This window comes from Homo sapiens, chromosome 11 (genome assembly GCF_000001405.40).
Source record: "Homo sapiens chromosome 11, GRCh38.p14 Primary Assembly".
NCBI classification, from domain to species: domain Eukaryota; kingdom Metazoa; phylum Chordata; class Mammalia; order Primates; family Hominidae; genus Homo; species Homo sapiens.
Genome location: NC_000011.10, coordinates 113,945,874 through 113,967,860, shown reverse-complemented (window position 1 = coordinate 113,967,860; position 21,987 = coordinate 113,945,874). Strand labels below are relative to the sequence as shown.

Below are 21,987 nucleotides of genomic sequence, written 5' to 3'. Positions count from 1 at the left end.
GGGGAGGCTGAGGCAGGAGAATGGCGTGAGCCCAAGAGGCGGAACTTGCAGTGAGCCGAGATCGCACCACTGCACTCCAGCCTGGGCGACAGAGCAAGACTCAGTCTGAAAATAAATAAATAAATAAATCAGGTATTTTGTGAACTAATAGAGCAAGAACTCACTCATTACTATGAGCATGGCCCAAGCCATTCATGAGAGATCTGCCCCCGTGAGCCAAACACCTCCCACTAGGCCCCACCTCTAACACTGTGGATCACATTTCAACATGAGCTTTGTGGAGGACAAATATGCAAACCATATCAGTGACATTACCCTTATTTTATACATGAGGAACTAAAACTCTGAGATATTTACTAACTTGCCCAAGGTCACTCAGCTATGTATGACCAAACCTGGTATAGAACCCTCAGCCAAGCTAAGACAGCACTCCTAAAGATCTGATTCTGTCTTCTGCCTTTTCTACTGAGGAAAAATGTAAACAGGAAGAAAATACAACAATTGTAATGGTTGTTGCCTTTCAGGGTAGAATGTATGTCTGGCAGACAGGGTAGGGAGAAAGTCATTTTTCACTCTCCACCGTCTTATGCTTTAAATTTTATTTTTAAAAATGAGTGTTTTATTTCAAAAAAAATGAAGTGAGTTTTTAACAAGAAGCAACGGGAAAATGGAATAGAGCCTGGCCCCAGTCCTGGTTCCATTGTGAACTATGTGATCTTGGGCAAACCAACTAAACTGTCTTAATTGCATACTCAATTTCATCAACTATCTAATGGGAATAAAGAAACAATTGCCCTGCCTACTAAATTCACCTATCGAATTCACCAGACTTTTTGGGAATATTATAGTTCAGCAATTATTAATCTGGAATGGGTAAGGCAATATCAACATCACCTGGTTCAAATTATGCATGCCCCTTCTCCCAGATATTCTGATATCCACTCTCTCTTCCCCCTACACAGAAATCATAAAAACCATAATTCACGGTGCTACCAGCTCTCTGGAATCTCTTTATAAGGGCACTAATCACCTCCCAAAGGCCTCACCTCCTAATACCATTACATTGGGGGTTAGGTTTTAACATGTGAATGCTGGGGGTGCACAATCATTCAGTCTATAGCAGTAACTGAAGCGTCCAAACTCAACATCAGTTTTCTTTCTTTCTTACTTTCTTTTTTTTTTTTTTTTGATGGAGTCTCACTCTGTAGCTCAGGCTGGAGTGCTGTGAAGTCGTCTCGGCTCACTGCAACCTCGACCTCTTGGGTTCAAGCGATTCTCCTGTCTCAGCCTCTTGAGTAGCTGGGATAACAGGCACATGCCACCACGCCAGGCTAATTTTGTATTTTTAGTAGAGAAGGGGTTTCACCATGTTGACCACGCATGGTCTCGAACTCCTGGCCTCAAGTGATCTGCCCGCCTCAGTTTCCCAAAGTGCTGGGATTACAGTCATGAACCCCTGCGCCCAGCTCCAACCTCAGTTTTCTCATGTCTAAATTGGGCATAGGCCGGGCACAGTAGCTCACGCCTGCAATCCCAGCACTTTGGGAGACAGAGGCAGGAGGATTGCTTGAGCCCAGGAGTTCAAGACCAGCCTGGTCAACATGGCAAGACCTCACCTCTATGAAGAAAAAAATTAGCCAGGCATGGTGGCATGCACCTGTAATTCCAGCTACACAAGAGGCTGAAGCAGGAGAATCACTTGAGCCCAAGAGTTCGAAGCTGTAGTGAGCTATGGTAGCACCACTGCACTCTAGCCTGCATGACAGAGCAAGACCCTGCCTCAAATAAATGAATGAATGAGTGAATGAATGAATGAATAAATAAGTAAATAAATAAATGGGGCATGGCCATATTTATCCTCATACGTTGCTGTGAAGATTAAATGAGTTGTTGTAGATAAAGTACTCAGCATATGTAGCATATACTCAGCAAACTATGAAATTATATAACCCGTAACAAACCATATGTCCCTTTTATTTACAAATAGAAGAGATTGAGAGGATTAATAAATAAATGAATAGGTCATGAACAGTCTAAAAGAGTTAAATACAGCAGTATAACATAAGAGGGATTATTCTGAGCAGCTTGTCTCCAAGGCCTGAGGGCAGATCCTGGAGAGAGGATTGGAAAGCAATAGCTCAAGTGTGACCCAAGTGACCATCAACTTCCTCAAAGATCAACTTCTCAGTGAGACCTTCTCCATCCACCACCGTATTTTATAGATGAAATTATACCCCCTAATACTCTCTAGAGTCCTTCTCCATAGCACTTGTCAACATCTAACATACCACATGTATGTATTGGGTATTTTTCTGGCTTATGATCTCTCTCTGCCCCTGCCTCCACTAGAATGTAAGCTCTACAAGGCAGATATTTTTATATAATTTGTTGGTTCCAATCTCAGAACCTGGAAGAGTGTCTGTTACATAGTAGATGCTCAACAAATATTTGTTGAATGAATGAGTGGCATTAGCAGATAAGTAGGGGGATCTGGCAAAATACACCTGTGCTCTGGGGCTCTCCCTGCTCCCTCAGAGGCCAGTCAACTGAGGGGGAAGGATGCCACCAGCCCTGGAGCTGGAATCCTTGGCTGCCTCCTCTATTTCTGGGAATGCGCTCAGCAGACAGTCCTTGTCCCACTGCTGCCTGGACTCTGGTCTGCTGCTGTCTCGAGCAGTGAAACACAATGGAACTCACTGGCCATGGGGAACATTTGGGCCCCCAAGCTGCCATTAGCTAGAGAAAGGAAATGCTCTGGGACACGGAGCCTGTAGTCCGGAATGAGTAGACAGAGAGATGAGACAATGAGGAGAGGGCAGGCGTGGGAGAAAGGGTGGAGGCAGTGAGGTGCCACATCCCTGTTCCTCTGAGGGGACACCTCACCTTATGAGAATTCTGCCCACACTACCCTGTGGAGAGGCAAGACCCACTGAGGAGGTCACGTCGCCCTCCTGCCCCGGGGCCACTGTTGTTACCGGGGGTCCTTGCTCCCAGAGCTCCCAAGATGGTGGCGGGCGCTTCCAAAGTGGCGGCGGGCTGCTTCCAAGATGGTGGCAAGCCTCGTGTTCTCTGACCTGGGGTTCTTGGCCTCACGGATTCCAAGGAATGGAACCTTGGGCCCTGCAGTGAGTGTTATAGCTCTATTAGGAGCCGTGGGTCACAGAAGAGAACCGTGGAACCCAGTGACTAGTGTTCAGCTCCATTAGGACGAACCTGGGCACTTAGCCATGCGGGAACAAAGGCAAGCCTTTAGCCCAATCAGGAGTGGCAATGGGGGCCTCACTGGATCAGGAGCACAGCAGACAACCTGCTGGATCCAGAAGGATGGAAGTCAGCGGCAGGTCTGCAACGGCGGCAAACAGCAGTGGGGGATGGAAAGCGAAAGATCAGCTCGAGCGGTAACCAACACGGACCAGAAGAGAGTGTAGTTGCAAGATTTAATAGAGTGAAAACAGAGCTCCCATACAAAGGGAGGGGACCCAAAGAGGGTAGCTGTTGCTGGCTCGAATGCCTGGGTTTATACCCCATGGTTGTCCTTCCCGCTGTGCTCTCAGGCAATAGATGATTGGCTATTTCTTTACCTCCTGTTTGTGCCTAATTAGCATTTTAGTGAGCTCTCTTTACTACCTGATTGGTCAGGTGTGAGCTAAGTTGCAAGCTCCGTGTTTAAAGGTGGATGCGGTCACCTTCCCAGCTAGGCTTAGGGATTCTTAGTCAGCCTAGGAAATCCAGCTAGTCTTGTCTCTCACTGTGTCATTCACCTCAGCATTTGTGGGAGGGCAGCCCATCCCCAGCCGAAAGCAAGACCCTCAGCACATCCCAAAGGACACAAGCCTGTCTTGGTGTCCAAGTCCTCCAGAGATAGAGATAGCAGAGAAAACTCCCTCGGGCCTTAAAAATCATCTAGTCCAGCCTCTTCCCAGCACACAAACCTTGATGACATCCCAGCAAATGATCTTTCAGCCTCTGCAGACCTCCAGTGATGAGACCTCTCAGGATAGCCCATTTCATTTTTGGAGAACTCTTTTCTACACTGATCCCCAAAACTGTTTCCCTAAAACTTCCACCCATCCGGTCCTATCCTTTGGGACTAACTTCTTTTTTATGTGAAAGTCCTTACACCATAACACCTTCTCTTCTCTGGGCACAAACCCCTCAATTCTTTCAGCCCCAAGTGTTGGAGCTGGAAGGACTCTGGACAGGGAGGGCAGAGACTCATCTTAGTGTCTGCAGTGCTGGTCCATGTGCTTGGGGCCTCAGAGGTGCTAGTCAGAGCCTGTGGAATGGGTGGATGAGTGAATGAATCTGGTGCAAGCTGCACAATTTATAAGTGAGGAAAGTGAATCTCTGCAGTGATAGGTGACTCGAGCAAGGTCACACAACACCCAACACAGGAACTAGCTCCCAGTTCGGAGGATTTTCGTGAGTCTCGTACCAGAGTGCTTGCAGCCCTCATTTGCTTTGTCTTCTTTTTTCTTTTCAGGTTTGGCCTGGTTAGTTGCACAGAGGCCCTCATAGCTCATCTGGCCCCTGTTACCTCTTTGTCTTCTCCTGATGTGACTTTCTTTCCCCCCCCCCCTCCGACTAGACAAGTCGTCCAGGAGTATCGCCCAGGCTGGAGTGCAGTGGTGTGATCTTGACTCACCACAGCCTCCACCTCCTGGGTTCAAGCAATTCTCCCACCTCAGCCTCCCTGGTAGCTGGGATTACAGGTGCCTGCCACCATGCCTGGCTAATTTTTGTATGTGTAATAGAGACAGGGTTTCACCATGTTGGCCAGGATGGTCTCGAACTCCTGACCTCAAGTGATCCACCTGCCTTAGCCTTCCAAAGTGCTGGAATTACAGGCATGAGCCACCACACCCGGCCTGCTGTGACTTTCTCCATCAGTCTGCCCACTCCAACCTCATGGCCTTCCTTCTGTTGCTTGCACAGACCAGGTGTGCTCTGCCTTACAGCCTCTGCCCCAGCTCTCCCCTCTGCCTGGAGCTCCCCGCTCTGCATGTCCACTTGGCAAATACCCTCTCCTTCAAGTCTACATAAATCTCCCCTGCTCAGTGAGGCCTCCCGTGGCTACTCCATATAATACCCTCATCTGCCCCATCCCACCTTCTCATGCCTGATCCCTCTTCCCCTGCCCTACTTTTTCTATTTTTCCATAGCCCCATTAGTACCTAACATTCTACACAGTTAACTTCTTTTGACTTCAATTGATTCTTTACTGTCTGTCTCTAATGATGGAACTTTAGCGCCATGAAGGCAGGGACCTCTGTGTGCTTTGTTCACTGATGTATCTATCCCAAGTGCCTGGAATAGTGCCCGACACATAGTAGGACCTCAATAAATATTTGTTGACTGAATCTCCTCCTCAGAGAATCTGCAGGGCCCCAGGTCTGAACTGCCAGCCACAGGACACGGACGCCGAAATCATGACTGCTAATAGATTGGTTGATTCCACGACATGTCTCTTGGAGTCAACTCATGTAATCATTGGTTGATTACATGACAGTAATCATGACATGATTACTGCTCTGTATCACTGTCTATTGGGCACTGGCGACATGGCTGAAGGGAGATGTGTAGACAGGCTTGCTGGGGGTCATCACACAGGTTCCATACACAGCTAGGCCTGCAGGGTGCTTCCTACCCCAGGGCCAAGTGGAAGATCTATGGATGCAGTTGGGTTCACGGTTGATATAGTTTGGATGTTTGTCCCCTCCAAATCTCATGTTTTGAAATGTGATCCCCAAGGTTGGAGGTAAGGCCTAGTGGGAGGAGTTTGTGTCATGGGGGTGGATCCCTCTTGAATGGCTTGGTGCCCTCCCCATGGTGATGAGTGAGTTCTTGCTCGAATTGTTCATACAAGAGCAGGTTGTTGCAGAGCCTAGCTGCCTTGCCCTCTTTCTCTTTCCTCTTCTCTCACCATGTGAAGCCTGCTCCCCTTCACCCTCCACCATCAGTGGAAGTTTCCTGAAGCCCTTACCAGAAGCAGATGCTGGCACTATGCTTCTGGTATAGTCTGCAGAACCATGAGGCAAACAAACTTTTATTTATAAATTATCCAGCCTTGAGTATTCCTTTAGAGCAATGCAAGATGGCCTAAGACAATTGTTGCCCTTTTGCTATTCAAACCATCTCAAAAGCTTTGTGTGGTATCCTGAATAATGGCCCCAAAGATACCCAGGTCCTAATCTCTGGGACCTATAGCTCTTACCTTAGACGGCAAAAGGGAAAATTACAGATGTGATTAAATTAGGGATCTTAAGATGAGAAGTTGTACTGGGTTGCCAGGGTCCGTCCTAAATGTACTGATTTAGTGTCCTTATTAGAGGAAGGCAGAAGGAGATTTGATGATGGAAGAGAAGGCTGTGCATGACAGAAGCAGAAACTGGATTTGAGCCTTGAAGACGGAGGAAGGGGACATGAACTGAAGAATGCCAGTGACCCCTAGAAACTGAAAAAGGCAAGGGCACAGATTCTCCCCTGAGAACCTCCAGAAGGAACCAACTCGGCTGGCAGAATTGGTTTAACCCAGTGAAACTGACTTCGGACTGTTGACCTCCCGATCTGTAAGACAATAAACTTGTGTTGTTTCAAGCAGCTAAATTTATGGTAATTCTTCACCGTGGCAAAGGAAAACGAACCCATGCCATTCCACAGGCAGTTCTCATTTTGCAATCACCAGCACAAACCCTAGTTTTGTTTTCTTACATCACACAAAACCTCAGACCCTCGGAGGCCAAGGTTGGGGCGGGAGGACCCTGCAATATCCTGAGTGATTTTCAGCCCTTCTGGCCTCCTGTTCCTCCTCTGGAGTGCTCTCAGTTGAGCTACCCTCTTCTTCCTCCTCCTCTGGAGCGTTCCACCTCTGTAAATAGACCCTGAAGTGTCTTGCTGGCCTGGAATAGCTTCCTGGAGAGGACCCTCTCAATCTTCCTGGTTCCAAGCATTTAATTAGTCTTAAATGAAGAGTCCTGGAGAAGCGCTCAGCAGTCTGCGTGTATGCTGACATAATCACATTTGCACATTGGCTGTTGCCACTGATTGTCCTCCTGGAAATTTTCCTTTCTCTCTGGGTTCCCTGAAGGTGGTTTCATGCACTCAGAGAGCAGCAGCATTTCCCAAACTTGTCCTCTTGTTTCAGAGGACTCTTCTAAATCCCGTATCTTGATTTGTCATTGCACTGAAAAAGGGTCGAACTGAACAGCCCCAGAGTATTCCTGAACTTCACACATGAACATACTAATGGCTACGACTCAGTGTTCCTAGGCTTGAGATTTTTGTATATTGTCTCATTTATTCACCACAATGACCCTGCAAGGTAGAATTACTATTCCCACCTTTCCGATGAGGAAATGGCAGCTCAGTGCACTGAGGGACTGAGTCGAGCTTGGTGATTAGAAACTATGTGGTAACTGTGAGCACTGTGCCTCGAATATTCCAGTTCTCCCCCTTTCTGGGCACTTGTAAGGATTGTACTTCCTGGCCTTGTGGTGGTTCGGTGGGTTGCACGACAAGGACAGTAGGACACTGAGTTGTGAGCAGAAAGGACGTGTGTATCTTCTTTTTTTTTTTTCTCCTGAGATGGAGGCTCCCTTTGTCTCCCAGGCTAGAGTGCAGTGGTGCAATCTGGGCTCACTGCAACCTCCACCTCCCGGGTTCAAGCGATACTTCTGCCTCAGCCTCCCTAGTAGCTGGAATTACAGGTGCACACCACCATGCCCTGCTAATTTCTGTATTTTTAGTAGAGACGGGTTTCACCATATTGGCCAGGCTGGTCTCAAACTCCTGACCTCGTGATCTGCCCACCTCAGCCTCCCAAAGTGCTGGGATTACAGGCATGAGTCACCGTGCATGGCATTCCTTTTTTTTTTTTTTTTTTTTTTTTTGAGACAGAGTCACTTGCTCTGTCACCCAAGCTAGAGTGCAGTGGTATGATCTAGGCTCACTGCAACCCCCACCTCCTGGGTTCAAGTGATTCTCCTACCTCAGCCTCCCGAGTAGCTAGAACTACAGGCGCCTGCCACCACACCTGCCTAATTCTTGTATTTTTAGTAGAGATGGGGTTCCACCATGTTGGACAGGCTGGTCTTGAACTCCTGACCTTAAATGATCCACACCTACCTCAGCTTCCCAAAGTACTGAGATTACAGGCGTGAGTCACCACACCCAGCCACATGTGTATCTTTCTGTGCTGTGGTGACTGGTGATGTTCGCAATGGAGGCTGCAGCGGCCTGGGTCTCAGGGCGAGGACATAAGATCAGAGCTGGGGCTGACCTCTGTGGGCACAGAGCTTGCTGTCGTAAGCCACAGAGATTTGGGGATCATGTGTTACCACAGCAATAACCTAGCCTGTCCTAACACCATTCAAATGCCAGCTCTGCCACTTCCTAGCTACATGCCTTGGACAGGTTAGTCAGCCTCTCTGAAGGGAGGATGGATACTGTCACCTACCCCAGAGTTTTGGGGAGGACTTAATGAGGTGATCTGAATAAGATTCTTTTTTTTTTTTTGATATGAAGTCTTGCTCTGTCGCCCAGGCTGGAGTGCAGTGGCATGATCTCAGCTCACTGCAATCTCCGCCTCCCAGGTTCAAGTGATTCTCCTGCCTCAGCCTCCTGAGTAGCTGGAATTACAGGTGTTCACCACATGCCTGGCTAATTTTCGTATTTTTAGTAAAGATGGGGTTTCATCATGTTGGCCAGGCTTGTCTCGAACTCCTGACCTCAAGTAATCCACCTGGCCTCAGTCTCCCAAAGTGCTGGGATTACAGGCGTGAGCCACCATGCTGACCTAGCCCAGCCCCATTTCTGACACCTCTCCCTTCCCCACTTCCCTTCCCATTTACATTTCTTTAGCCTGGGCAGGGAGGCCCCTGTGGAGGCCTCAGGATTCTAGCCCAAGGCAATGTGTGCATCTTCTCTTCTGGAGCGGGGGCCTCTTCCCCAGCTGGGTATAACACTGCATGGGGATGATAACCCCTCACCTTTGCAGCTTTCACCCCAGGAGCCTCCACAGCTCCCTGGGGTGGGAGGGGCGTGGGCTCTTACTCTCACCACTTTGCTTTTCAGAGGAAGCTACTAAAGCTGCTTGATGTTCAAGCAAATAATCCTAATACCAAATTCTGCTCTTTCACTCACTCATTGTGTGATGGTAGGCAGGTTTCTTAAACTGGCTGAGCCTTAGTTTCTGTATTTGTAAATGTAACATACCATGGAAGATGGTCATGTGGGCTAAATTAGCTTCACCATGGAAAGTCCTCATACAATGCATGACACATACACGCTTCCCATTTCAGTAGCTATCAGTAATCATTATCATTGTCTTTAGTGTTATCTTGGGTATATTTTTATTTTCTCTCAGCCTCATCTGCAGAATGAGAGCTTTGCATGAGTTGGTCTAGATTCTCCTCCAACTTCAAGTTACTGCCTCAGACACATGTACACACACTCTCTCTCTGCTGCCCAAAGAAGCAGAGTAGGGGACCCCAGGCCTATAAAGGCACAGTGACAAGCTTGGGCTCTGCCTAGTGCCCTCTGTGTCAAGCTCAGGATGGCAGGGAGAGGGATGTGGTGGCTGAAGCGCAAGGGGGTAGGGTGTGATGGGAGGACAGGCTGCGTGGCAGAATTGTCAACAGGCTCAGGGGGACCTAAGTGCCTGGAGTGCAGCCCCAGAGCCATCTCCTGTAGCCTTGGAAGCAATACCCTGTAAAACCTAATGGGTGTTTGAAATATCACCAGAAAGGGAAGATCAGGAAGACGGAGAGAGCTTTCATCCCTCCCAGGGACCAGGGCTGAGACACGGTGGCGGCAGGGAGAACAGGCCACTCGGCAGCCTGGGACCAGAATGAGAAGACAGAGCATCCAGTCTACAAGAGTGATGCCTCCGCCAAGCACTGGCACCTCTGGGAGGAAAGGGAAGGAGCAGTGGCAGCAGCACAGCCTCCCCTGTCACCTGGGATTCTTTCCCCATCACTCTCCACCACCAGGGCTCTGGTAGGAGATGGTGGCCAGGCACTTCCCTCGCTGCAGCCCAGCTGGCTACCTTCCGGGCAAAATGGCATGGATGTTCCTTCAGCCAGAACTCTCCAGTCCTCTGCCCTGTGCCAGCCTTTGTGGTAGAAACTGGAGAAACAGAAGGATGACAACCGCATGGTACCTCTGGTCTCAGGCCTACCTCCACCTGATGTCTTATGTTTCACGCTCCGGGGAAAGGGAAGCATTTGGATGAACAAAAAGGTTGCATCTGTAGGAGGAGAGTCAGCTAAAGAAAGCTTCTCCCTCAGGAAGAGGGACTCACACAACTAAGGGCACCGGGCAGATGGTCCCTTAAGGTACCATGACCATAAGTCAGCAAGCAGGAGGGCCCGGAGGCTGGCCCAGGGCAGCAAGTGAGCTCTGGGAAACGGGGGGCCACCTGATCGCTGGTGCTGGCAGCCCAGTCTTGTTCTCCAGAAAAGAGGGTGTTCACTGCAGGGGAAGGGGGCTGTGGAAGAGGCCCTCTTTGCCCTTCACTCACTCTCTCCTTGGACGGCACACGCAGAGCCATCTCTGCCATCTGCCTGCAGCCTATAATTCAGCTGCCCAGCTGTGCTGAGTGCTTGACTGCTCTGATTGTGAGGCGGGGAGATTACCGTGTGCAGCACAGTGATTGGCAGGTGCCCCGTGGGCCCAGCTGTCCTGGCAGCAGGGGTGGGCTGCATGTAACGCTGGGCTGCCCCTGAACACCCAGCTCCTCAGGCCTCCCTGAGTCTGCGCTCTCACCTTTTACCTCCATCGTTCTTCCATCCCTGCTTCTCCAAAGACAATGTGCACATCACTCCCCTGAGAGAACACTTCGAAATCAGACTCAGATTCAGGAGGTCTGGGAGGACCTGAAATTCTGCGTTTCTAACAAGTCTCCAGGCGATGCTAATGCTGCTGGTCCTGGACCCACACTCTGAGGAGCAAACCCGGCGAGTTTACAAAGCGCTTTCATATGTGATCTCCCTGGGCTCTCATAACAGCCCTGTGGTAAGGTGGTGATGAAGAAGAATTCCTATCCTTTCAATGCCTGAGTGCAAGGCACTGTGCTCAGCACTTAATAAATCTTATCTTTTCTTTTTTTTTTAATTATACTTTAAGTTTTAGGGTACATGTGCACAACGTGCAGGTTAGTTACATATGTTTACATGTGCCATGTTGGTGTGCTGCACTCGTCATTTAACATTAGGTATGTCTCCTAAAGCTATCCCTCCCCACTCCCTGAGAACTGAACAATAAATCTATCTTATTCCATTCTCTCAATACCTCAGCAAAACACCTCTTTCTAGGCTGGGTGCAGTGGCTCACTCCTGTAATCCCAGCATTTTGGGAGGCCGAGGTGGGCAGATTACTTCAGGTCAGGAGTTTGAGACCAGCCTGACCAACAAGGTGAAATCCTGTCACTACTAAAAATACAAAAATTAGCCGGGCGTGATGGTGGGTGCCTGTAATCCCACCTACTCAGCAGGCTGAGGCAGGAGAATCGCTTGGACCCAGGACAAGCAGAGGTTGCAGTGAGCCGAGATCGTGCCACTGCACTCCAGCCTGGGTGACAGAGTGAGACTGTCTCAAACAAACAAACAAACAAACAAACAAAACCCACCTCTTTCTAGAATTTCCAGATGGAAAAGAACCGAGATTCTAAGATAGTGAAGTAACTTGCCCAGAGTCACAAACCAAATGAGTGGTGGGGTTGGAAATGAAATTAATTTATTATAACATGAGCCCCTCCCTCTTACATATAAAGTTGGCAAATATGAGTGGCTTTTAAGAAGTAAAGCTCGGCAAGACGCAATGGCTCACGCCTGTAATTTCAGCACTTTGGGAGGCTGAGGCAGGTGGATCCCTTGAGTCCAGGAGTTCAAGACTAACCTGGGCAACATAGTGAGACCCCCATCTCTACAAAAAATACAAAAATTAGCTGGGCATGGTGGTGCATGCCTGTAGTCCCAGTTACCTGGAAGACTGAGGTGGGAGGATCGCTTGAGCCCAGAAGGTTGAGGTTGCAGTGAGGTGAGATTGTGCCACCGCACTCTAGCCTGGGTGACAGAGTGAGACCCTGTCTCTATTTAAAAGAAAGAGGTGAAGGGAGCATGTCTAGAGTCAGAGTGCACCTGTCCAAGAGCATGGAGTCTGAACCCAGGATGCTTAGATTTGAATCCTAGTTTGGTCACTTTCTAGCTCAGTAATCTTGGGCAATTTACCTAATCTGTCTGTGCCTCAGTCTTTTTTCAACTGTGAAATGGGAATGATAATACTAAGGTTATTATGAGGATTATACATATTATGAGATGTCATTATATATATCTTCATATATATAATTTTCATAACATCCCTAGTATTATCCATAACTCTATCTATCTATCTATCTATATATCTATCTATCTACCTACCTATCTACCTACCTACCTCCCTATCTACCAACCTACCGAGAGAAATTCTAATGGTCTAGAATACTGCCACCCAAAGCATCAGCACAGTGCTTGGCACATGGCAAGCTCTGATTATCCCTCACCTGATGTCACCTGTGGCTGACAGCACTAATTCATTACAGCATGCTTTCCCACAGACCCCACTGGTGGCCCAAAAATCTATCTCCAGACAATACTCCAGGCAGCTTCTGCCAAACCATCAGGTTTGCATTCAGAGGAAATCCATGTCAGCTTTAAGTAACTGTGCTGTAATGGAACTTAAATGCATGTTTCTGACCTCCAAACCTGTATTCTTTTTACTGCACCACTTCTGTTGGATTAAAAGCTCCTTCAAGGCCAGAAACTCTGAGTGTCCTATTCAAGGTGCTATTCTGGCACCTGGCAAGGCCCCTGACACAGAGCTGATGCTCAAACTACTACTACCAAATGAGTGGGTGAGTGGATTAATGCATGAATGAATATGTCTTGCCCAGGTATTGCTTTCCTCAAATAACTTTTCCTGCATGCTTGCCACAATATCCAACATTTTCACCTCTTAAGCCAGTCCTTTGAGTTCTGCTGCCCATTTCTGCTAACCTACCCAGAAAACCAGAAGAAAAGGATACGTCCTGACTGGAATCTCAGAGGGGCTGTATTAACCTTGTCTTTTATTTTTTATATTCTGATGCTTTGACATCTGGGGCCTTGCTGACCCTGGCGAGACTGCCCCTTCCAGGGATAGCCAATTCCTAGAGATAGCAAACAACTCGCCTACAAGCAAACTTTTCAAATACAAACCAATCCAGTGCCCACATCCCCAGTAACCTTTTTTATCAGGTTCTCATACTCCAGGCCACTATCCACATGCCCTAATCATCTCAGAGCCGGATATCAGACAACTAGGGAGAGCTGCCATGCCCCAGAGTCCCCTGAAATGATTCACGCTAGCCCGTCCTAAGCCTGCTTACCCTGCCTTACCTGCTCTTTCCCGCAGAAACAATTAAGGCTCTTCCTCACAGCGCCTCCCCACCCCCTAACCCTGTAATCAACCTGGGTGTTTTCTGCTTGCATGCCCCACTTCCCACGGTGAAGTGTGGCTCATGCTCCCCTGTTGGGAACTAGGAATAATAAACTATCTTTTCCAGCAATTGTCTCCTGATCTGTTGGCCTTGCCAATACCTCAAATTTTGTATTAGTATGATATATTTTAAAGCAAGGGCAGAGCCAAAAAGGATCCCCTTCCATGAAGCCTGAAGTTTTATCTTTAATATGGAATCAACCTAAGTGTCCATCAATAGATGAATGCATAAAGAAAATGTGGTACATACACACAATGAAATATTATTCAGCTATAAAAAAGAATTAAATTGTCATTTGCAGCATGAATGGAACTGGAGGTCATTATGTTAAGTGAAATAAGCCAGGCACAGAAAGACAAGCATTGCATGTTCCCATTTATATGTGGGAGCTAAAAACAAAACAAAACAAAACAAAACAGTTGAACTCATGGAGATAGCAGAACGATGGTTACCAGAGGCTGGGAAAGGTAGTGGGGAGGGAGGGGGGGTAAAGAGGAAATAGTTAATGGGTACAAAATCCAGTTAGATAGAAGGAATGAGATCTAGTGACCAGTAGCACAATAGGACAACTATAGTCAACAATAATTTATTGTACATTTCAAAATAACCAAAGAGTGAGGCCGGGCGCAGTGGCTCATGCCTGTAATCCCAACGGTTTGGGAGGCTGAGGTGGGTGGATCACTGGATGTCAGGAGCTCGGGACCAGCTTGGCCAACGTGGCGAAACCCTGTCTCTACTAAAAAATACAAAAATTAGCTAGACCTGCTGGTGTGTACCCGTAATCCCAGCTACTCAGGAGGCTGAGGCAGGATAATCGCTGGAACCCAGGAGGCGGAGGTTGCAGTGAGCTGAGATCGTGCCACTGCACTCCAGCCTGGGTGACAGAGCGAGACTCTGTCTCAAAGCAAACAAATAAATAAAACCCAAAATAACTGGACAGTGGAGTTGGAATGTTCCTAACACAAAAAAATGATAAATTCTTGAGATGATGGATATTTCAGTTACCCTGATTTGAGCATTACACATTGTATACTTGTATCAAAATATCACATGTACCCTATAAATATGTACCCCTAATAATTAAAAATAAAATATTTTTAAAAATAAAGTTGTATCTTTAAGGTTTTATTCTAAATTTTTGTTTCTTCACCAAAATATATCAGTATGTATTTTCATAGGAAAGTAAATAATTCTCGTAACAATATACTGTTGAGTAAAACCAATGCTTTAGAAGGGAAATCATGTTCATTCTGGGGTTTTGAGTATAGCTAGCACACTGCTGAGCCATGCTAGGGATAATATACCCCAGGTTGAAAATGTGGCATGAACTCATTTCACCAGTTTGTATTTCAGAACAGATTAATTTTAAATGACTGTATTTAAAAGGCATTGGCACAGTGGAAGGATTTTTGGTCTCATTTGTGCACAGTGTCCGGGAAGGTAGATTTGGGAAGAACACAACAGTGAGATGTCCTTTGGGCAGTGTGCCGACATAGGTCCCTGGGTAGATACGCGTGGGAAAGAGGAAGGAATGAGAAGAAACTTCAGCTATTGCACAACTTGGCCAAAGCCAGCCCCGCGTGCAAAAGGGCAGGTGGTGGGAAGAGACCGCAGGAGAATGGGGCTGGGGTAGAGAAGGAGGCTTGTGGAAGGAAGAGCTGCAAGCCGAGACTGGGCAGGGATATGGGGAGAAAAAGAACTGCCAACAGCACCCGATTCCCTTGCTCTCAGCCTGGCGCTCTTCAAAGAGGATGAGCAGGGTGACCAGGAGCTGGCTGTCCACATGCAGCCCGGGTTACCAGTGACACTGAGGAGGGATGACCTTCCCGCTAGACTTACACACACCCCAGGCCTTCAAAGGCCAACACAGGCTGTGGGAGAGGTACAGAGGGTAAGGTAAAGGGGGAGCAAGGGGCTCCCTCTCACTCAGATCTGTAGTCTTGCCTGACACAGAGGCCGCCCACAGCCCAGCAGTTCCTTCCACCCCTGCAGAAAACCTTGATGCAATTCCTGCTTTATAGCCTCTGCCAAATGAAGCACAAACTTAATTACATCACCTCCCCGACAGGACGGGGAGCAGCGTGCTGGGCTTCTTCAGCCCCCTAATCTAATCACTGGCGTGGGTCATTTCAATTACGGACACCAGAGTGTGGGGGGAGCGTGGCTGCTCATAAAAGCCTCCATGCTGTTGCTCAGCTAATTATGAAGCTCTTACTGTCTCCGCAGGTAAATAAGTCAGGACTGAGCAGTTCCGGCTGCTGAGATGGAGTCTGATCGAGGGAACAGGACAAGGTAGGCTAAGCTCGACAGGGTGATGGCTGAGGTGGAGCCCAGGGTCACAGAGGGGGTTGCAAGGAAGGAAGCCCGGCCTTCCCGAAGGGCTCTCTGCCCTGAGGAGACAATCCACCATGCAAGAATTGATTGGTGGATTTTACCTTAAAACCCAAGCTCTGAAGTTTCCTAGAAGCCTCAGAGCCACAGGGCAGGATAAAATTCAGACTCCACCCACTTCTACTAACCTTGCCTTAACATGTGTCATTAGATCTCTGAGAAGGGAGAGCATCTGGGGAAGCCTTGAGGCTGAGCTGAGAGGAGGATGCATTCTAGCAACGGCACTTTCACTCTGGCTCCCCTCATGGCCACTCTCATTTGCTTCCCGGTTCTGGCTCATCCAGGCTGGGACGTCAGACCCCAGGAGACGTGCTGTGTCACAGTGGTTTAAAAGGTGAAAAACTCAGCTTCCTTTATCATGGCAGCTACTGCTCCTCTAGGACAACTGCAAAAGGTGTGGCGGGTATCTTGGGAGGAAAAGGAGACCCTCTGCCACCTGATTATTGGCAATACTCAAGGCTGCAGAGGCTCGGGGAGGTCATCAGAGCAGCACTCAGAAGTCGTCTTGTAATATAATTGAGGCCAGGCGTGGTGGCTCACACCTGTAATCCCAGCACTTTGGGAGGCTGAGGTGGGAGGATCACCTGAGGTCAGAAGTTCGAGACCAGCCTGGCCAACATGGTGAAACCCTGTCTCTACTAAAAATACAAAAATTAGCCAAGTGTGGTGGCGCATGCCTGTAGTCCCAACTACTCAGGAGGCTGAGACACAAGAATCGCTTGAACCCAGGAGGTGGAGACTGCAGTGAGCCAAGATCGCACCACCGCACTCCAGCCTGGGCGACAGAGTGAGACTCTGTCTCAAAAAAAAGAAAAAAAAAAAAGAAATATAATTAAGAGAGCCAAGTACAAAGGGGGAAGATCCCTGGAGAACCCCTGACCAGCCCGCATGCTGGAAGAGCAGGGTAGAGCCATGGAAAGTTCGTGCCCTCTGCGGGGAGGAGAAGCCTGGCCTCTCTCTCCTGTTCTGGGATGTGGTAACTAGGAATTCAATTTGTGAGGTGGGAAAACTGGCTAGCAGACTCTCGCTTTGCTGAGAGTCCCTATTTCCATTTTTTTTTTTTTTTTTTTTTTTTTTTTGCCCAGTAAATTCCATTTTCAAAGTGTCTGCAAGCCTAATTTTTCATGGCTGTATGACAAGGACTCTGTTTTTAGCTGTACTAAGGAGAAAGTTCTACAACATGATGAACTGGGGCTGCCTGGCTGGCCTGGGAGTTAACTAAGTCTTTGTTCTAGACATCAGTGAAGTCCCCAGAACTGGAGCTGTGATTTCTTGGTGAGTGCTGAAACCACCTTGGATTCTGCGAAAGAGCAGATGGTAGGAGTGCTCACAGCTGGGAGAATCCCATTTTTGCTCTGTTCCTCAGTTTCCTTTCTCTATGAAACAGGAATCATGAAATGTATGAACATTTGGAGGGGCTGAGCTAAAGCTGCTCTGCAAATAAGGGCTGCTGGCACCCCATATTCCTCCCACCACAGAGGGACACTATTCCAGGAGGAGATCTGTAGTGCCATTTGTTCATGATGTTGTCGAAGAAAAGAGTCAAACTCTGTAAAATATTGGAAGAGATTTATTCTGAGCCAAATATGTGTGACCACGGCCAGTGACACAGCCCCCAGGAGACCCTGAGAACATGTGCCCAAGGTGGTCAGGGCACAGCTTGGTTTTGTACGTTTTAGGGAGACATGAGACATCAATCAAATACATTTAAGATACATATTGATTCCGTCCAGAAAGGGGGGACAACTTAAAGCCAGTGGGGCAAGGGGTTTCAGATCCTAAGTAGATTTAAAATTTTTGTGATTGGCTATTGTTTAAAAGAGTTATTGTCAATAGAAAGGAATGTCTGGATTATGGTAAGTGGTTGTGGAGACCAAAGTTTTATCATGCAGATGAAGCTTCCAGGCAGCAGGCTTCAGAGAGAGTAGATTGTAAATGTTTCTTTTCTTTTTTTTTTTTTTTGAGACAGAGTCTCACTCTGTTGCCCAGGCTGGAGTGCAGTGGTGCGATCTCAGGTCACCGCAACCTCTACCTCCCAGGTTCAAGCAATTCTTCTGCCTCAGCCTTCCAAGTAGCTGGGATTACAGGCATGTGCCGCCATGCCCAGCTAATTTTTGTATTTTTAGTAGAGATGGGGTTTCATTATGTTGGCCAGGCTGGTCTTGAATTCCTGACCTCAAGTGATCCACCCGCCTCGGCCTCCCAAAGTGCTGGGATTACAGACATGAGCCACTGCGCCCAGCCAGATTGTAAATGTTTCTTATCAGACTTAAGATCTGTATTGATGTTAATGCTGGTGCTGGTCAACTTTTCCTGAATTCCGAAAGAGAGGAGGGCATCATGAGGCATTTCCGACCCCCGCTGCCCATCATGGCCTGAACCCCAGTCTTTGGGATGTCCTCACTGAAAGGATGGAGTCCATTCAGATGGTTGGGGGGCCCTTAGAATTTTATTTTTGGTTTACAATGTCATTGCTTCAGGATGCAGGCCTGACTCTGGGGCTTTGAATGAGTTCTGGGCTGCAGTTGTGATTAAGGCCACTTGCCACTAGACGAAGGAAGTGTACCGGGGACCAGTTTGGCGGCCAGGCTTCACTCTTAAAGGGCTGCTTGTTAGAGGCTGATGTAAAGAACCTGGGCAATGTCATCTGCGAATGGAACAAAGGTGAGCTTCATGTGAGATGGACTGGGAAGTCCCTTTGGCAACCCCTGCCACACAAGTTTCTCTGTAAGGAGGCATGTGATGACTTCAGCCCTTGGCCTTTGGATCCTATAATAGTGGAACAACTGGAGGAGAGTACCAGACCCCATGACTGGATTCTGATAGAGGGAGCTGGAAATCAGATCCCACACCAAAAACTCAAGACTGGAGTCCATCTGTTGATAGCAAGCAGGTCTTATCTTTATTTTGTGATGCATTATTTACTTTTTTTTAAATTATACTTTAAGTTTTAGGGTACATGTGCACAACGTGCAGGTTTGTTACATATGTATACACGTGCCACGTTGCTGTGCTGCACCCATTAACATTAGGTATATCTTCTAATGCTATCCCTCCCCCTTCCCAAAGCACTTTAAACTTTTTTTTTTTTTTGAGATAGAGTTTAGCTCTTGTTGCCCGGGCTGGAGTGCAATGGCACGATCTCGGCTCACCGCAACCTCCACCTCCTGGGTTCAAGCGATTCTCCTGCCTCAGCCCCCCGAGTAGGTGGGATTACAGGCATGTGCCACCACGCCTGGCTAATTTTGTATTTTTAGTAGAGACAGGGTTTCTCCATGTTGGTCAGGCTGGTCTCAAACTCCTGACCTCAGGTAATCCACCCACCTCAGCCTCCCAAAGTGTTGGGATTATAGGCGTGAGCCACCACGCCCCATTATTTACTTTTCAAAGCATTGTTCAATACATTTTTTCATTTTGATCCTCATAACTCTTTGATAGGGGTAGAGCAAATATAAACAGCCCCAATTTCAAATAAGGTAAGTTGAAGTCTGAGAAGTTAAGCTCACAGAGGTCCCCTGGCTAGGTAATGGCAGAGCCAGGACCGTAATCATCAGGACTCCTGACTCTGACACTGGTGCTTTCTCTAAGACATAGTTGGGAAGGAGAGAGACCCCACAGTGAGGAGTTCACCTCAGGCCTTTTCCTCCTTTCCTCCTCTGTTAACTGGAGGAGGAAGTGGAGAAAGCCAGAATCGACATGGATGGCAAGCTAAGGTGACATCAGGACCGTGATGCCTAACTGAGCACGTCAAAGCAGAGGAGGCCAGCAGTAGAAAGTAGGAAGTGAGGAAGGAAACAGGTGGAGGTTTGCATGGACACTTCCTGTTCACAAACTTCTTATGTTCCTCATTTCATTAACAGCAGCAGTGGAATTTCATGGACAATTGGCGCTGAGCACTAACTGGGAGGTAATGAGAGAGGGAAGATGCAGGTAAAGGCTGTTTGAATTTAAATTCTTTTTCTTTGGGGGGATGGAGGGGGGCAGATTTTTCTAAAGGCAATTTTAGTGCTGGAAAAAGTTTCTAGCAAACAGCTTTTGGACTTTTGTGTCTTCTACTGACAGCGTTAAGACTGTCAGCAGGTCTCCAGCCTGCCAGCCTACTCTGCAGAATCTGGACTTGCTAAACCTCCGGAATCACTAGTGTTATGGGCTGAAATATGTCCCCTTTGTCTGCTGCCCACTCCCCAAAATTCATATGTTGACATCCTAACCCCTAGTACTCAGAATATGACTGTTTGAACATAGGGCCTTGAAAAAAGTGATTAAGGTTAAAAGAGGTCACTAGGATGGACCCTAAACCAACAACACTGGTGCCCTTGTTAGAAGAGAAAATCTGGACACAGACATGAGCATGCACAGAGGAAAGGTCATGTGAAAACAAAGCAAGAAGTCAGCAACCTGCAAGCCAAGGACAGGGCTCAGAAGAAAGCCACCCACCCTGTTTGCACCTTGATCTTAGGCTTCTAGCTTCCAGACTGGTGAGAAAATAAATCTCTCTTAAAGCAACTTAGTGTGTAGTATTTCCTAGCTGACTAGTTCAGGGACAGTGGATTATAACTTCCTTGAAGCAAAGGACCGTGAACTATGCCTGTCCTCCCACTCCATGCATTGCCCCTTGTGTGTGGACTAAATGATGTGCTAGACTGGGCTTAGAAGCCTTGGCACCTGCTACTAAAATACAGAAAATTAGCTGGGTGTGGTGGCATGCACCTGTAGTTCCAGCTACTCGGGAGGCTGAGGCAGGGGAATTGCTTGAACCCGGGAGGTGGAGGTTACAGTGAGCCAAGATTGCACCACTGCACTCCAATCTGGTGACAGAGCAAGACTCTGCCTCAAAAAAAAAAAAAGAAGCCTTGGCACCTGGGTTCTCTCCAGTGGGGATGCACTGCTGAAGGGGCACAGGAAGAGGGTGGAGGCAGTGGACTTAGCTGGGAAGTGGTAACAAGAGCCTCAGAAGGTGAGGGATATGGCAGGAATTTTATGCTCTGGTTGGTTGGTACCAGGTTGACCATGGGAATCACAACAAGTGAATAATAACCTGTGCTGACTTATTTTGTATTCTCTGGTGTGCCTAACATAATGCCTAGGACTTAATACTCAATAAAGGTTTTGTTGAATGGGTGACTGAATAAATGGCCAAGGCAGGGCTGGAAGATGGAGCTATCTTACACTTTTTAAAAAACTGCTTAACCATACATAGATGCATGTGTGTGCCTAGAAATCTTCTGGAAGAAATTACTAACAGTGGTTGCTTTGGGTGAGTGGACTGGGATAAGAAGGAAAGTTTACTTTTTTACTGTATACTCATACTGTTTATACATTTTCATGAACATATGATCCTTGGGTCACACAGCAGACTATTAGGTGTATGAAGCTGGACTCAATGGAGAGGCAATGAAGGCAGAAAGCCTTTTATTTTATTTTTTTTGAGACAGGGTCTTGCTCTGTCACCCAGGCTGGGGTGCAGTGGTGCAATCATGGCTCACTGCAGCCTTGAAATCCTGGGCTCAAGCAATCCTCCCACCTCAACCTCCCAAGTAGCTGAGAGTACAGGCATGAGCCACTATGCCCAGCTATTTATTTATTTATTTATTTATTTATTTATTTATTTATTTACTGGTAGAGATGTGGTCTCACTATGTTGCTCTGGCTGGTCTCGAACTCCTGGGCTCAAGCAATCCTCCTGCTATGGCCTCCCAAAGCACTGGGACTATAGGCAAGAACCACCACACCCGACCCAGAAAGCTTTTTAACCCACTATTATTCCCCCTCCTCTCTCTCCTAAGTGCCAGCACAATTACTGAAGAACACTTCAGTCTTCACACGCCGCCCCACAGTGCCCAGAGGGAGCACAGAGTGATGGTGTAGATCCCCAGCATGAAAAGGTAGCTTTGGAAGAGCAGTCGGTCAAAGCGGGACAGGAGGACCAGCCACTCTGCCTCCTGTTGGTCTGTCTGGTCCTGAGTTTGGAGGTAGTTGCTGATAGATTGAAGCTGCGACCAGACTTCCTTCAGGGTTCCTGGCTGGGCCAGGTGCTCTCCATACAGCGAGGACTCTGTGTGATGGAGGAAAACACCCTGGGT

At 47.8% G+C, this 21,987-nt stretch overlaps 1 protein-coding gene across 4 annotated transcripts in view, besides 3 other annotated features; it reads right to left on the bottom strand.

Annotated features, from left to right (window-relative positions):
- Window positions 2,499-2,998: an enhancer, noted in NCBI's record as "H3K4me1 hESC enhancer chr11:113835585-113836084 (GRCh37/hg19 assembly coordinates)". NCBI's record gives its function as "activates a minimal SCP1, AML or CMV promoter by ChIP-STARR-seq in primed H9 embryonic stem cells {active_cell/tissue: H9 hESC(primed)}" and the evidence as "EXISTENCE:reporter gene assay evidence [ECO:0000049][PMID:30033119]".
- Window positions 10,266-11,151: an enhancer, noted in NCBI's record as "H3K4me1 hESC enhancer chr11:113827432-113828317 (GRCh37/hg19 assembly coordinates)". NCBI's record gives its function as "activates a minimal SCP1, AML or CMV promoter by ChIP-STARR-seq in primed H9 embryonic stem cells {active_cell/tissue: H9 hESC(primed)}" and the evidence as "EXISTENCE:reporter gene assay evidence [ECO:0000049][PMID:30033119]".
- Window positions 15,343-15,896: an enhancer, noted in NCBI's record as "H3K27ac-H3K4me1 hESC enhancer chr11:113822687-113823240 (GRCh37/hg19 assembly coordinates)". NCBI's record gives its function as "activates a minimal SCP1, AML or CMV promoter by ChIP-STARR-seq in naive H9 embryonic stem cells {active_cell/tissue: H9 hESC(naive)}" and the evidence as "EXISTENCE:reporter gene assay evidence [ECO:0000049][PMID:30033119]".
- Window positions 18,782-21,987, bottom strand: part of HTR3B (5-hydroxytryptamine receptor 3B) — a 50,157-nt gene continuing 46,951 nt past the window's right edge. For all 4 annotated transcript variants that reach the window (XM_024448767.2, NM_006028.5, NM_001363563.2 and 1 more), the window contains one exon: window positions 18,782-21,959. In XM_024448767.2, coding sequence (XP_024304535.1) covers window positions 21,724-21,959 — 236 coding nt within the window. In that variant the 3' untranslated portion in view covers window positions 18,782-21,723. The remainder of the gene's footprint in view (window positions 21,960-21,987) is intronic.